Source organism: Homo sapiens, chromosome 6, assembly GCF_000001405.40.
Source record: "Homo sapiens chromosome 6, GRCh38.p14 Primary Assembly".
Taxonomy (NCBI): domain Eukaryota; kingdom Metazoa; phylum Chordata; class Mammalia; order Primates; family Hominidae; genus Homo; species Homo sapiens.
In genome coordinates this window covers 126,173,349-126,188,119 of record NC_000006.12, presented here as the reverse complement: position 1 = coordinate 126,188,119, position 14,771 = coordinate 126,173,349, and the positions used below count along the sequence as shown (strand labels likewise).

General features: G+C 36.8%; 1 protein-coding gene across 24 annotated transcripts in view; it reads right to left on the bottom strand.

Moving 5' to 3' along the window:
* The window catches only part of TRMT11 (tRNA methyltransferase 11), a 285,804-nt gene that overhangs the window by 84,224 nt on the left and 186,809 nt on the right, over positions 1-14,771 (bottom strand). For 10 of the 24 annotated variants that reach the window (XR_007059327.1, XR_007059304.1, XR_007059310.1 and 7 more), the window contains one exon: positions 13,209-13,295. The gene's annotated coding sequence lies outside the window, so the exon portion shown is untranslated. The other 14 variants (XR_007059324.1, XR_007059326.1, XR_007059301.1 and 11 more) reach the window with 5 other exon arrangements.

Below are 14,771 nucleotides of genomic sequence, written 5' to 3'. Positions count from 1 at the left end.
AGTTTATTTTATGAATTGTGTTCTTTTAAAATTCGTGCTTTTGTATCCCCTCTAAAAAATCATTGGCTACCTCAAGATCACAAAGATATTTTCTTGAGGTTTCTGTAGACATTTTATGGTTCTAGCTTTTATTGTTATTTGTCTCAAATTAGATTTTATTTATGGTGTGAAGTAGGGAGCTAAGGGTCACCTTTTCCAAAAGAATAGTGAATTGTTCCATTGCCATTTCTTAAAAAGATTCCTTTCCTCTAATGAATTTCCCACTGACTGGGTGCTTGATGGAAAAGCAATTTACTGTATATACATGAGTCTATTTCTGAGCTCTGTTCAGTTTTCTTGACCTATTTAATCTATCTTTACCCCATCACCTCAGTGTCTTAATTATTATAGCTGTAAAATAAATCCTAAAATAAGGTAGCATAAGTCTTTACACTTTATTCTTTTCCAAGATTGCTTTGGCTATGCTAGATTCTTTGAATTTCAATTTCAATTTTAGAATTTATCAATTTCTTCAGAAGTTTTAGAATTTATCATTTCTCCAAAAAAGTATGTTGAGACTATGATTGAGATTGAGTTGAACATATAGATCAGTTTGGTCTTCTTAACAATACTGAGTCTAACAATTTACAGACGTGATATTTATCTATCAATTTAGATCTTTTAAAGTTTCTCCAAGTAACATTGTATAAATTTTAGTGTAGGGTCTTGCACATTTTTTATTAAACTTGTTTTCAGATATTTGATTTTTTTTACTGTATCGCAAATGGTATTATTTTTCAAGTATTGTTTTCCAATTGTTAGCTGCCAGTATATAACAATTCAATTGACTATTTTATATCAATCTTGGATCTTGCAATTTGACTAAATTCACTTATTATTTCCAAGAGTTTTTTTGTGGGTTCCATAGAGTTTTCTTCATACATGATCATATCATCTACAAATAAAATGTTTTATTTCTTCTTTTCAAATTTACATGAGTTTATTTCTTTCTCCTTATTGTACTGGCTAGGACTTTGATATAATGTGGAAGAGAAGTGATGACAATGGGCATCCTTCCCTATTTTGATCTTAGGCAAAGTATTTCATTTTGCCATTAAATAAAATATTAACTGTAAGCTTTTTTATAGATGACTTTATTGGGTTAAGCAAGTTCTATTTAAATACTAGTTTACAGAGAAATTTTTATCATTAATAGGCATTGACTTTTTATAAAAGTTGGAAGAATATTTCTTTATTAATACTTGAAATTCAAGATTTAAGGTCATTTTTCATTAATTTTACCCAGCACTTCATGAGCTCTCGTGATCAGAAAACTAAAGGTCACGAGAGAAGTATTCAAGATTCAAATGCAGAATTTGAAGCTGTGTCAGAAAATAAAACATCAAGGGAAAAAAGTGACTAAACATTACAAAGATCTATGCGGATATTTAACAAAACTCCTACAACATATATGAAAGATTCCTAGATAATAAAAAGGTAGTTTCACAATCAACTTGAGTGAGATGTCTAAGTCAATATAATTAAAACAGCAATTTTCCTAGGTAATATTTAATTGTAATTTGTCAATGTTTAAGTCAACATTTTATAGTCACCTGAAAGATGCAACCAAAATATTACATTGCTTTCTTTTCCAAAATCAGAATTTGATGTAGCTTTTTAGTTCAACATCCCACTTCTTGTATCACTCTACAATTCTAGGAATTTAATTAAACTATTTGGTTGTTTCGAAGTTGAATTTAGATATTTTTATAGATCCCAAAGCAAGGTGTTTCCATAATTAAATAAAAAAAAAGAATACTGCTTTATCTTGAATTTAGATAAAATCAAACAAAATTATAGTTACTTTGTGCCCAAGATACATCTGACTTTATCAGTCTCACCAAAATAAGTAGTGATGCTCTGCCCTCTGTGCTGTAAACCAGTAAGCTGCCTATATTATGTTATTTGGTAAGCTATGAAAGACCTTTGTGCTCTGACAAGAAAATTATAGAGCTCCAAATCTCACAATTAAAGTAAAGCTTTGGAAATAAAGCATTTTCTTCAGAAGGATATTTTAAAATGCACATATCATTATGGAGGGTGATATGGTTTGGTTGTGTCCCCACCCGAATCTCATCTTGAATTAGAGTTGCCATAATCCCCACATGTCATGGAAGGGACCTGGCAGGAAATGATTGGATCATAGGGGCAGTTTCCCCATGCTGTTCTCATGTTAGTAAGTGAGTTCTCATGAGATCTGATGGTTTTATAAGCATCTGGCATTTACCCTGCTTACACTCATTCTCTCTCCTGCAGCCTTGTGAAGAGGTGCCTTCCACCATGATTGTAAGTTTCCTGAAGCCTCCCCAGCCATGCAGAACTGTGAGTCAATTAAACCTCTCTTCTTTATAAATTACCCAGTCTCAGGTATTTCTTCATAGCAGCAAAGGAACAGACTAATAAAAAGGGCTAACTAAACCCTAAAGCCATTATCTTAAATTATGGTCTCATTTATTTTATCAGCAAGCTTTTACCCTGGAAAGCAGTAAGAAAGAGAATAGAAGAACATTAGATAGAAAAATTAAGTATTGATGAATGAGAGAATATTTAAAAATTAGAAAAGCATATCAGTAAGATAAAACAAGTGACCTCTCCTTAGAATACACAGGCTCAAAAGATATGCAATATGTATTTTAGGTGGATGTTAAGAATAGTCTGGGGCCAGGACATGCAAAAGAAGCCTGGCTCCTAACCAGGTCATTGCTCACCATTCTAGAAGCTGAAGAGTCCCCTGAAAAAAGAGCATGAAGAGTGCCAAAAAGATTTGTGATGGCTTCCTGGAGAAGACTGTAGGAGTAAAGATAAACTTTGCTGACCAAAACAGCTTATCTATACTAGTCCTACTGACTCTATCCTTCACTTAGAAATAAATCTTCATTACCAAATAAATATATGAATCAAGGAAAAAATGTGACTTATTTCCAGGGGATTGCCTGCAAATACCTCCCCTACTCACCTACCATGTTTTCTCCTTTCTCTTGACCTTCAAGATCTACAATTAGAATTACTCTTTGAATTAGAACAATGTTCCTCAAACTTGAGTGGACCAGGAAGAAAGACATGATCTCAAAGACCCACAGTGTTAATATTACATATACTTAAAGTTGTTTAATAATGTGCAAACACAAAACCAGGTCTGTCACTCCTTTCTGCTTGATCCCACACAAGCTGCTGTCCCTGTTTCGTGTTTTTGGACAAGGAAATTCTTTGTCAGGCTGCCTCTGATTGCATTTAACCCTAGTTACTATGCAGCCTCTCATCTTAAAGAAATACTTTTCCTCCATAGTGACAACAACAGAGAGCCAGGTTCAGGTTCACCCTACTCTTGGAACCCACAGAATCCTCCTACAACACTGGCTGGGTCTACAATCTTTCTCAGCTACTTTCCTTCAGTTGAGGGAGCCCAAGAAGGTCTGAAGGAACCAAGAGAAAGCACCAAGAGAAAGATACAGGGGGAGAGAAAGGGTCAGACAAGCAAGTTATTGCCATCAAGGGAAACAGGCAGCCTCAGTCTGCATCCCAGCTTCACCATATTGGTTGTGTGATTTGCCATTCTGAGCTTCAGGTTCTTCACCTTTCAAATAAATAATAACAATAATTGAAGTATTATATGTAATGTTTCTGGCATAGTATAGCAGTTCAAAACCTGTAACTGTTACCATGATTATGCTCTGGACTTCAAAGTAAGAACATTGTCACCTAATGTCCCAAAGCTTCTATTTAGCCAGTCAGTGACCAATATTTATTAAGCAGTGGAGAATTAGAGAACACATATAATATACCCTCCTTGCCTTCAAGTACTTATTTCAAAGAAGACCTCTAGTGTATCAAAGTACAATTTTTGAGAGGTATAGAAAAAACTAGAAATCAAAAATCCTGGATTCTTAACATAGTTTGCACTGTGCATTACCTGTGCTTCATAAGGTAATCACTTCACAGTTCTGAGTCTCATATTACTCCTCTTTAAAGCAGAGATCATGTTTTGTGCTATGCCTACCTCAAGGATTATTATAAAGCCAAATAAGATATATTAGGGCATTAATAAATATAATCTATTATTATTAGTCATTTTCAAGACCAAAATGACATCTCATCCAATTATCTCATTTTCCAGATGGCAAGACAGAATCCCATAAAGGCTTCATGATTAGTCTAACAACATACAGCTAGAGCTGCGACTCGCACTAAGGGCTGAGGTAACTCTCTCTCAGGTTGCTCGCATCAGCTTCCCCTCCCTCCCACCCTCCTTCCCCACGTATCGTCCCCAGTGCCTTAAAAAGATGAAGCACTCTATAAGTGCTAACAGTTAATCTATAATTCTTATTAAAAACGGTGAGCTGATAGAGTAGGAAAATAATCAGAGTTTAGAGTCAGGGAAGGTTCCATAAAGATGAGTTCCCAGAGCAGGTGCTCTGCAGATCACAGGATCTCATTTCAATTCCCTGTCCAGTACCATTGCTTACACGCACAGCAATAAACTCCCCCAGCATTTAGCACTCCCTGGGACCTCTTTAAAAGGCCCTCCACTCTTCTAAACTGCCCAAGTAGGCTAATTAGTGAGGCTATCTGAAATCCTTTACTCCAACTGTTCAGATAGCTGCACACTTTGGGGACCTACCAATTGTTTCCCGCTTTCCATGAGGTGGCTTATTTTGGTCAATGCAACACCCCAACACCTCTGCCCACTCCTGAAAACTCTCACCCCAGATCATCTGGGCCTTATTACAGAAGAAACTTTTGCTCTCAGTACTTTTAACTTGGAGTGCTATTTGGAAAGACTCGGCTCATAAAAAGTCTTACAGTTCCTTTGTTGGCCTTATCATGACCTGAACATTTTGTTAACAAAGCACCCTGTTAATGTTTTGACCACAAGAACTAATGTGCTTGGGGTTGATGGTGTTGCCAAAGTGATGCTTGCTCCTAAAAAGGGAAAGTTTTAATTCTATTTTCAAAATAAGTCATCTTACCCCTGCTATATTAGGAAATGTCATCAATCAGTCTACGAAGCCTGCAGTGGGTGGGTGGTGTTGGAGGGATGGGTGTGTTAATTCACTTGTTATTCCAGTTTCCCAGTTTCACAAACCTCACCTCCCTGTAGGGGGCAGGTGAAGTTCCAACAGCCCCAGTTGAAATGGGCCTGAAATTGGCCTTTCAATTACAAAACATACAAAGGTATTATCAGTGGGTGCAGCCAGGCTGATACCTAGTGACTGGGCAGAGATTGCAAAATAAAAAAGGTGATCTGAGGGTCAAAAGACAGACAATGATTCAATTCATTATTTCCTGGGCAAAGTCATTCTCAGCTCAGGAAATCCCCAGAGTCCTAAGTTCCAAAAATAATCCCTCTAAGAGCAAATCTTTAAAGCTGTCTGCCTACCTGCACAGGAATGAAGGCTGCAAGCTCAAGTCAGGAGGAAATGTAGTATAGTATTGTACAAGGTGTCCCAGAGAAGAGGCTTAAACACCTGGAAAAGGGTCACACTGCATGGTGGGGTTGGGGGAGTCAGGGGTCAGGCTACCATACTGATCTCAAGCACAGACCCCATAAGGGAAGATGACAAAAAGGGGTCCTCAAAAAGAGACCACTAAGGCCTTCAACAATCAAACCCCATTAGCCCAGATGCACAGTAAAGCAGTCTATACCAGGTCTTCCTGAGTGGTAAGTCCAAATCCTCTTGAAGAAACGACCACCAAGAAGTGGGAAAAAAAGAAGAAATGCTACCCAAGTCAGCAAGGCTCTATTCACAGACAAACTCCCTTCAACCCTTCTGCTTTGCGAGGATATGCTGATTATCACAGGATCCCCCATCGGTACCTCCTAAAGAGCACCTCTTCCTTCCCCAAAATCTTTCCCTCAACCCTGAAAAGTCATATTCTTTACATCCTTTTTGTAGAAAGGTTCTCAATCCCATTCTGCTTTGATGCACCTGTGCACTCTAGAGTTTATGTTAATACGTAATATTTACATTCTATAAAGTTATAAAAGCTTTCATGTTTTATATGCTTTATCTACGAGGTTGTTATCTCCTGTCTTATCTCCATCAGTCTGTAAAATCATTGATAGTAGAAACTGTCTACAATTTCTTTTGAATCTGTCTTTTCAGACCAAGGAGTTTTATCTTGAAATATCTGTTTTTGACAGGATGACTTGCTATGTATTTGGCAAACTGTATTCCTTACCTCTAAGTGTTAACAAAAAGCCATTAAAATAATAGAATTAATAAAGGAAAGGAAATAAGGCTAGTAAGAACTTTGGCTCAGTAAGCTGCCTCAGTTGCCTCAGCTCTCCTGAAAACAGGCCAGATATTAGAACACTTTACACTCACAGGATACTAACATCAATCCCAGTCTTGGAAAACACCCTCTTCTTCTTCATCCCCAGAGCCAACATGGCTGACAATGTTTTCTATTAACTATCATAATCACAATCCCACTGGAACAATGGTGCCCTTTTCTTTTAAATCAGAGTTCACCTTGGGCAATTTACATTCCTGACCTTTTAAGGTAAAGCCTTCTTGCTCCTTGGTCCAACCCACAAAACCCTTTGATATGTAGGAATCTGTATTAGGGTAAAAACAGTTGGTAACATGACCCAAGAGGCCTAAATTGAACAGAAACTTCTCTATCACTGGAAGAAATCAAACAGAAGTTAGGTGATAATCTTAAGCAAGGCTGTTGTCAGGGGAATTTATAAAATGAGGACAGGAGTGGGACTAACAATTATCACATGCACTTCCAACTATTAGGGTTTGGGATTATGAATGTTTTAACAAAAATAAGAGGATTTAGGTGAAACATTTCTACCAGCCTGGTCATGCATTAAGCCAGAGGAAAATTTCACCCAGACACAAAATCTTAATTCAAAGCAATAATTGGGAGTGAAAACATTTCTATTCTTAACCTCACAGCAAAGATTCAAAAAATAATCTAGAGCAAGTTTCCAGTAACATCAAGCACTAAAAGAGTTTCATGTTTTTAGCCAGAAGTAATCACTAAAATATTCCTTTAAAAAAAAATCCTCTTTCTAAATGTGTGTCCTATTTATGGAACAATGAGCAGTTTAAATCTTGAGAAAATTGTGTTCTTGTAAATACTTATTACGTAAATATAAAACATAAAGTAAAATATAATTTGTTTTAAAATTTCCAAACAAAAGATTTTACTGCTCAGGGAATGCCCTTTGCGCTTTAAACTATTAAATTAAGTTGTGTAATTAGTTGGGCTTTGTCATCAGAGTCATGTTGCTATTACATGAAAAGACAATAGGACAGAACTTTAGCAGTCAGAGTAAGACAAGCAATTCCCATGACTCGTAAACCACAAAACTGTGTGGCCAAGTGACTAAGGCATCAGCACCTGTCTTAGGCTCATATTGCCACATGCGTAAGCAGTTGTTGAAGAAAAATAGATAGTAACTCATTGATTTGAATACTGTCTTAAAAGTATATGAATCATTCTTGTTTCTATATGTTATAGCTCTGACCTAAACTTACTACCTTCTTTACAGTAATCCATTTAAGGACTAACATGTTAGGAATTACTGTGTTTATAACTCTAACACTAAATTTTCTTTGCCAAATTTTCCCTGCATAAATTTTCCTGGCCTCCTGGCTATAAACATGATAAACTACACATCCTTGCTAAATTGTCCTTGCGTCCTTTCTGAGAACATGATAGACTGTGTAATGAATGAAGGTGATACTAGGTTCACTTGGCTAATGGCAATAATTACTATGGCTTGGACAAGGTATTTATCACTTATACAGAATATTTAGCTCTCTGGTACAAATTCTGATTTGAATGGCATAAAATATACTCAGGTATATTTTTAAAAAATTATAATACATATTCACAATAGGTAATCTTTGTAGATCATCTAAGATGACCAAATAAAATATTTCTGAAAATATAACCTCACGAGTCAATGATCAAAAAATACAATGATTGAAGTTTTGTCTATAAAGTTATATCTTTTTTCCAATTTCTTTCATTCCAAACTATTTTTTCAGTCCTTTATCACGTAGCATATTCTATTCTAACAAAGGAAATTTGATTCAGGCATATTGATTTATTATAGTTTACAAATAGGTTTTTCTCCTTTCTTATATAGAAACTGGTTTGACAGAGTTGGATATAATCTATAATTGAAAAAAATTCAATAAGCATGAATTTAGTTTGTGTGTTTTTAAATTTTCTTCCCTAATTATTAGAGGTAAGTTAAAATGTGTTCATATTTTTTAGGTGTTTGAACCTTATAACAATATTTCAGAAAACAGAAAAAGTTTAAAATCATTTTACTTGCTTGAGTGCTAAGTGAATATCTTTGAAAAGTATATACTTCACTCTCATTTGTGAGCTGTCTTATAGTTATTCTTCGCTATATGTGAAACCTGACATGTAGTCTTTCAGTTTTGTCATCCTATCTGCTCTTGCACTTTAGTTAATATTATTTGGTAGAAATGCCATATTTTGATTTTTTCATGACAAGTTAATCTTTGGGGAAATGAAAGATTAAACAATGGGAATGAACAGTCAGAAAAGTAGAAAAAAAACTTTGTTCAGTGTGATATCCTGGAAGCCAAGTGAGGAATGTTTCTAAAAAGAGGACAGGATCAACACTGTCACATGCTGCTGATTTGGTACAGTAAGAGTACTCTGATGGGTTCAAACAAGTTCAATCAGAGCATGTATATATAACTATGCTCTTTCCAACTCTACTTAAATAACAATACAGAAATTTTTAAAGATCTGAACCCACATAGATAAAGAGAATGGAAGCAGGGACCACAGCAGAGGAGCAATATTGACAAAATCTTGAAAGATGAAGAGTGAATAGATAAGCAGTAATTCACTTAATTGAAAGCAGAGAGCCTCAAGCGTTCACAGGAAGGAAGAAGGTCCACAAGAAGTGACACAATTTCTTCTGCAGAGCCCTAGAAAGGACCAAGTTTGGGAGGTATAGTATACCTCTGAAGGCACAGTGGAGGCAGGTGGGTGGGGGAGCTGATAACTTTAATTTTGAAGTAATTGGTTGAAATTTTGTTTAAGGAAAAATTAGATTCCTCCAATCACTTCCCAATTTCAGATATCCTAAAATTACCCCTCCTATATACCCTGATAGACAATAAGAATAAAGAGAATTATCTAAAGAATTCTAAACAGAGAAGTTTAGTATGTTTTTCGGGCAGAATTGAAATTGGGGCTGAAATTCCAGACTAAAAACCTAGACTATTAAATTAAAATGTTTACACTGATAATGTAACTCCCAACCGCTTCCCTGACTAGATCCCAGAAAGCTGCTAGCCAGGTTTATGCTCCCCAAGCAGGAGAAAAGATGAAACTGTCTGGGGTCAAGAAAAAAGACCTAGACACCAAATAAACAGCTGGTTTTCTCAGTTTTTCTACATGGTGACCCTAAGGAAACATGCGCTATACATACTTAGGATTTCAATCAACTTGTCTTTCACATAAGGCAGAACAGAAAGTATCTAGCATAGAAGTCAGAGTCTACAATGCATAAACAGAATAAAAGTAACTTAGAAGAGACAGATATATTGTATGAAGAAGAATATAGTCACAGCTATGTTTCCCTGGGAGGTAGACTCTGAAATGGGCTTGAGCATGCAAGATATTTATTAGGGAGTCACTTTGGAGGGGACAAAAGCAGGGGTGGGCTAACAAAGAAGGCAAGCTGCAAGGCCAGTCCCATGACAGCCTCAGCCTCAGTGTCTGGGGCTAGAACAGCCCTTCAGAACTCTCCCACATTGGGCCAAGATGGCCAAGCACTCATAGCTCACATGGAACAGTCTTTGGGTGTGGCTACCTCAAAAAGGGAAGGTGATCTTGGGCAACAACTCTTTCCTTGAAGGGTGATCTGAGTGTTGCATCCAGTGCCTACCATAAAAACTTTAAAGAAACTATAATAAATAAATTTAGAAAGCTAAATAAAAGCACTATTCCATCTGATGAAATAAGAAAATAATGTTATGTATTTTTTAACATAGAGTATTCTGAAAACATAAGATCGCTCTTGAAATTTTAAAATATAACAATGGAAAGGGTTAAAGAGAATCCCCAGTTTGATAGTAAGGGGAAGACCCTGGACCAGAGCTTGCAGTAGGCACAGGGAACAACCAGTTGTGGGAGGAGGCAGCCAGAGGGCTTAAGGGAAAGGGGATGGATACTTTGAAAAAAATGAAACTGATGGATCACTTATTATATTTGCATTGAGAGAGGCTGTATACCTTGGATTTGGGGGATGAATCAGTAGTAGAAATATAAAAATCAGCTAATGAAAAAATCGTGCAATTTTTCATTTAGGAAAGCAAAGAGTTGAAAAAAAAGGTCAGAGCACCCTTCTGAGCTCAGCTGTGTATAGTATTTATGTAGTCATAATAAAGCAAACACAGAATAGAGGTTAAACCAAAAATGGTAATTTACCAGCATTTAGAGGCTGAGGAAATGGGAAGTATATATTAAGTGGTGTGGGGAGAGTTGATAGGGCTGGATTCTTTTCTCCAATAAGAGGAAGCAATAGAAAATACCTAAAGCTTTATTGCACATATATAAGAAATTAGTATAAACATGTTATTTAGCCATTTGGAATTAGATGCCAGAAGAAATAGCTAAACAAGTTGAAATTGGTATCTGCACATCGAGAGTTGGGGATAGCAAATGGAGAAGTAGAGTACTGCTGTTTTTCATTATAAATCTTATAATCCTTTTTGACTCTATATACTATATACCTGCATTAAATCCTGCTTTATGTTGATAAAAATTCCTGTTGCCATAATAGTTTTGCATCCAATCTTTTTGAAAAGCTTGGTTTATGGCACTACAATTCAGTCCAAGAGGAATTAACCCAAGTTCAAGCATATTTTATGATACCTGGGAAAGAAGAAATCAGAGAGCCAATGGTATTCATACTTTAATGATTTGATTTCCCATTTCAATAATTAATAATTTTCTTGACTCTGATGAAATACAATGACTTTGTTCCTACATGACCCATTTTACTCTTCATCTCAGCTAACTTTTCTTCAGCCACAATTTCTTTGTTTTTTTTTTTCTTGTTAAAAAACATCTGTTGAAGTCTAGGTAAAATTAACTTTAATTTTGGTTTCTTTCCAAATTCTGCATTTAACCTGGATGAGTGAATGAAGGGTTGAAGGACCATCGCATTTTCATGTTATAATTGATGTTTATGTTGGGCAAGTGAACACTGTTCATATATCAAGCTGTCAAGTATTGTCACCTTAATAGAGTAAACAATTAAAAAGAAGAATTGTAACAATCATTTTAATGGGCTTCTTGTTCATTAATTTCATAGAAAAAAACTAAAACTGATTTGTGAAAATAAACTACCCATACTTTGCCTCTTTCTCTCTTTTTAAAGTGATCCATCAGCTAGACCATCACAAGTGTTCTGTAAATCTATTTTATTCCCCTTACTTTATAGGAAAATTAGATTATAGATCCAAGTGGAGAAAAGGCCATTGTCTGGGTTCCTGTGATCTCATTTTACCCATAGGTCACAGGAGGTATTCAAAGTTCTTAAAATTGCACACTACAAAGAAGGAACTGAGGTCCTTTTTCTAGACAAGATAACCCACCACCTCCCTCAAGTGGTCAGTTGGATTAGTTTTCTGTTTCCAGAGCTGACTATAGTTATTTCCAAGAACTATAGAGTCATGTATAATGGCTGGGTTGAATGGACCTTTTTTTCTTTAATAAATTGATTGGATTTTAGGGTGAAGTGTGCTGACTATATTAAATTGCACTATATTTTAACTTCTCTATGTCAAAAGAAAAAGACACTTAACCAGGGGCTAGCAGTTGTTTACAGGGCTGGCCAGCTCAGGATTGCTTTCACTGTGGCCTTTGCCTTTCCTGCTAAGAGCTTAATCCAAACTTCATCATTTTGACTTCCTTAAAGTCTTGTACCAATTTCTTTTTCACTAGAGCAAAGGTGTTAATTCCTGCTTCCTGAACAAATTGGCGTTTCAGTGATTACACATCACCCAGCAAAACTTGCTTAATGATGTTATTTCCTAACCAAAACTGAAAACTTTTTTAAATGTTTCCTCAATTAATCTCTGAGAAAGGGGATAAGGGGTGGAGAGAGGGAAAGGAGACCCAGGGTGTCTTTCTGATGAGCAGCAGTAAGTAAAATTCTCAGTGTTATCTATAGTTAAATCATTTTCAGGGCATTTTGTACCAAAACATCATTTCAGGAGAAATTTATGAAAATCATTGCTTTAAGTCATTAAGGCTAACTTTAGTTCTAACAATCCCAGAATAAAATATCCAACAAGGATGTCTGCAGAGTACTAAACTGAATAAAGATATATGAGTTGATGATATTCATGCTTTCTAATAGTAACTAAGTAAAATGCCTTTTCTGTATGTTCATTCCTCAGGTTTGTGAAAGGATGAAAGGAACTGGAAAAGAAGTCAGCCGGGAAGCTAGGTATCAGAGCAAACATAATGAAATAGACTTTTGTTGCCTTTAGTGTTTGAATAATGCTTATCCAAAGTTTTCAAGTTGATTTAGATAACCTAGCAATCAGCTAAATCAGATATTTGAGGGCAGTTTTTAGCTTTTTCTTTTTCAAACCCAACCACAAAATAAACTAACTCTTGCTACAAAAACAGTCAGCCTCTCTGGTATTTTGGCTCCACAACTCACATCTCAATGAAGCCAAACCCCTAGGAATGAAAAAATATCTACAAATGCACACAAAACTTACTAAACCTATGTCAGAAAAGGGCCAAGTGTGTCAGGTTGGAGAGGACCCTGTACACTCTAATCTCAAAGTAGATCAAGCTATAGCAGGTTTAATTCTTCTATACCTTGATCTATTGCTAAGCCCCTCCAACTATTATTGACAAGAATACCTGGGTTCAATCACTGTCCCAGTACCAGGGGTTTGAAACAGTAGAGTGGACAGACACAGGAAAAGTAGTCAATGATACAAAACATTCCAATATGTGTATCATACTGGCTGAAGGTAATATGTTAACATCATAGTTGGATAGTTTGAAGCCAACTTAGGAAAGCTGCAGCAACTTTGCACATACAATATGCTCCTTTTGATACAACATTCTGTAAGAAATCATTTTCTGAGCTTTGGTTGTTATCATCAAGAATGGATGTGGTTGGGACTCACCAGGGTGCTCCATTTCTGTCATTTTCTCTTTTTGCGACTCACTCTTCTGCTTCTCAATCTGCTCTTGCTCTCTCACTGTCTTTTCCTCTGAAAATTCAAAGGCACAATTATAGCATGAAGTTGCAAAGGTTTTTTACCTTTCACCTGCAAGGAACTAACAGGCAAGGACATTCAGGGTGGGGATGTAGACCAAAGAGAAAAATTCCTTTAACTAGATATAACCTTAATTGAAGAATTTTGACTTGTCCACAAGAGATCTGTGATAATGGAATCAAATACTGTTCCTATTTTACAAAACAGAAAGCATTTATATTAACTGCCAGGGAATAAACACCTCTGTTTGTTTTTTGTGTAAAGTGCTAAGTGCCATATAGGCAAGCGTGGTTAGGAACAGTGTGGCTTTAAGGTCCTGAGGCTGAGAGAAGCATCAACATTTTCCTCATTATTTGGGTAGAATGCCATAAGGAAATTTCCATATTTTGGTAAATTGAAGGGCATGGTAGCCCAGCAGATGTCAAGAAGTACAGATACGAAATTCATACCCTGAAATGTCTGGCAGCTTTTTGTGGGCTTCCTGACATTTAACCAGCAAAGACTGTAGATGTGTCTGAAATAAGACTGTTCCTTTGCTTTCTGTGACTTAGACTTTTCTGGGTTTGGAGTCTTCTGGGTTTAGAGTTTGTAAAATAAAGATCAGAATGCTTGCAGCTACACCTTCACCAACACTCCACCAATGCCATTCCTGAGGATAGCCTATGAGGAGTGGGCGACAGTGGGGAGTGAGAGGCTGCAGAAAGGTGAGGAAGGAACATGTGTTGCCAAGGCCAGTGCTCCAAATAAAAACATCAGGTTCTGGGATGGAACTTGAGATTCTGCATGTCCAGCAAGCTCCTAGGAACACACTTTGAGCAGCCAGGACCTTGGATCAGTGCTTCTCACACTATCTGTTGAGAAGGAATAGCTCCCCCACCCACATGATCCCAGGCAGGACTCTGCTCTTCTGTTCCCCAGACATTCTCCTGGGGCAGAGAAAGAGGCCACAGTGACATGACACACTAATCACTTCTGCAGCACACCAGGAACCAGATGCACCATCAAAAATTCTGCTGGTTTCCAGGTTGGGCATATGAGGAAAAAGACAAAAAGAATTCTTCACTTCACTGCTTGAGGCCACACAGTCTCTGTAACACACTGAAGGATGCTAAGTTCCTTTGGTTTTCCTGCAAACAACCGCTAACACCAGTCTTGTATTTAGAGTAGGATTTAAAATCCATCCACAGCCCATACTTTTTAAGGAAGCAAATCATGGGGTTGGCTTCCCATATGCTTCTCATCTCTGGGGTCTGCTTACCAGTTGACTTCTCATAGCATGCTTGCCCCGACTGCCTTGCAGTCTTTTCAGATGAAATTCAAGATTCTCCGGTAACTGTAGCAGGACAACTCCTAAGATCAGCGACCTTCCAAATAACCTTCTCATTCCTCTCATGTTCAGAGAATGGGAAAGGATGCCAGAAAGCTATGTGAGGGTGAATGAGGGCCAGAATTGTAATTTATATCTATGAC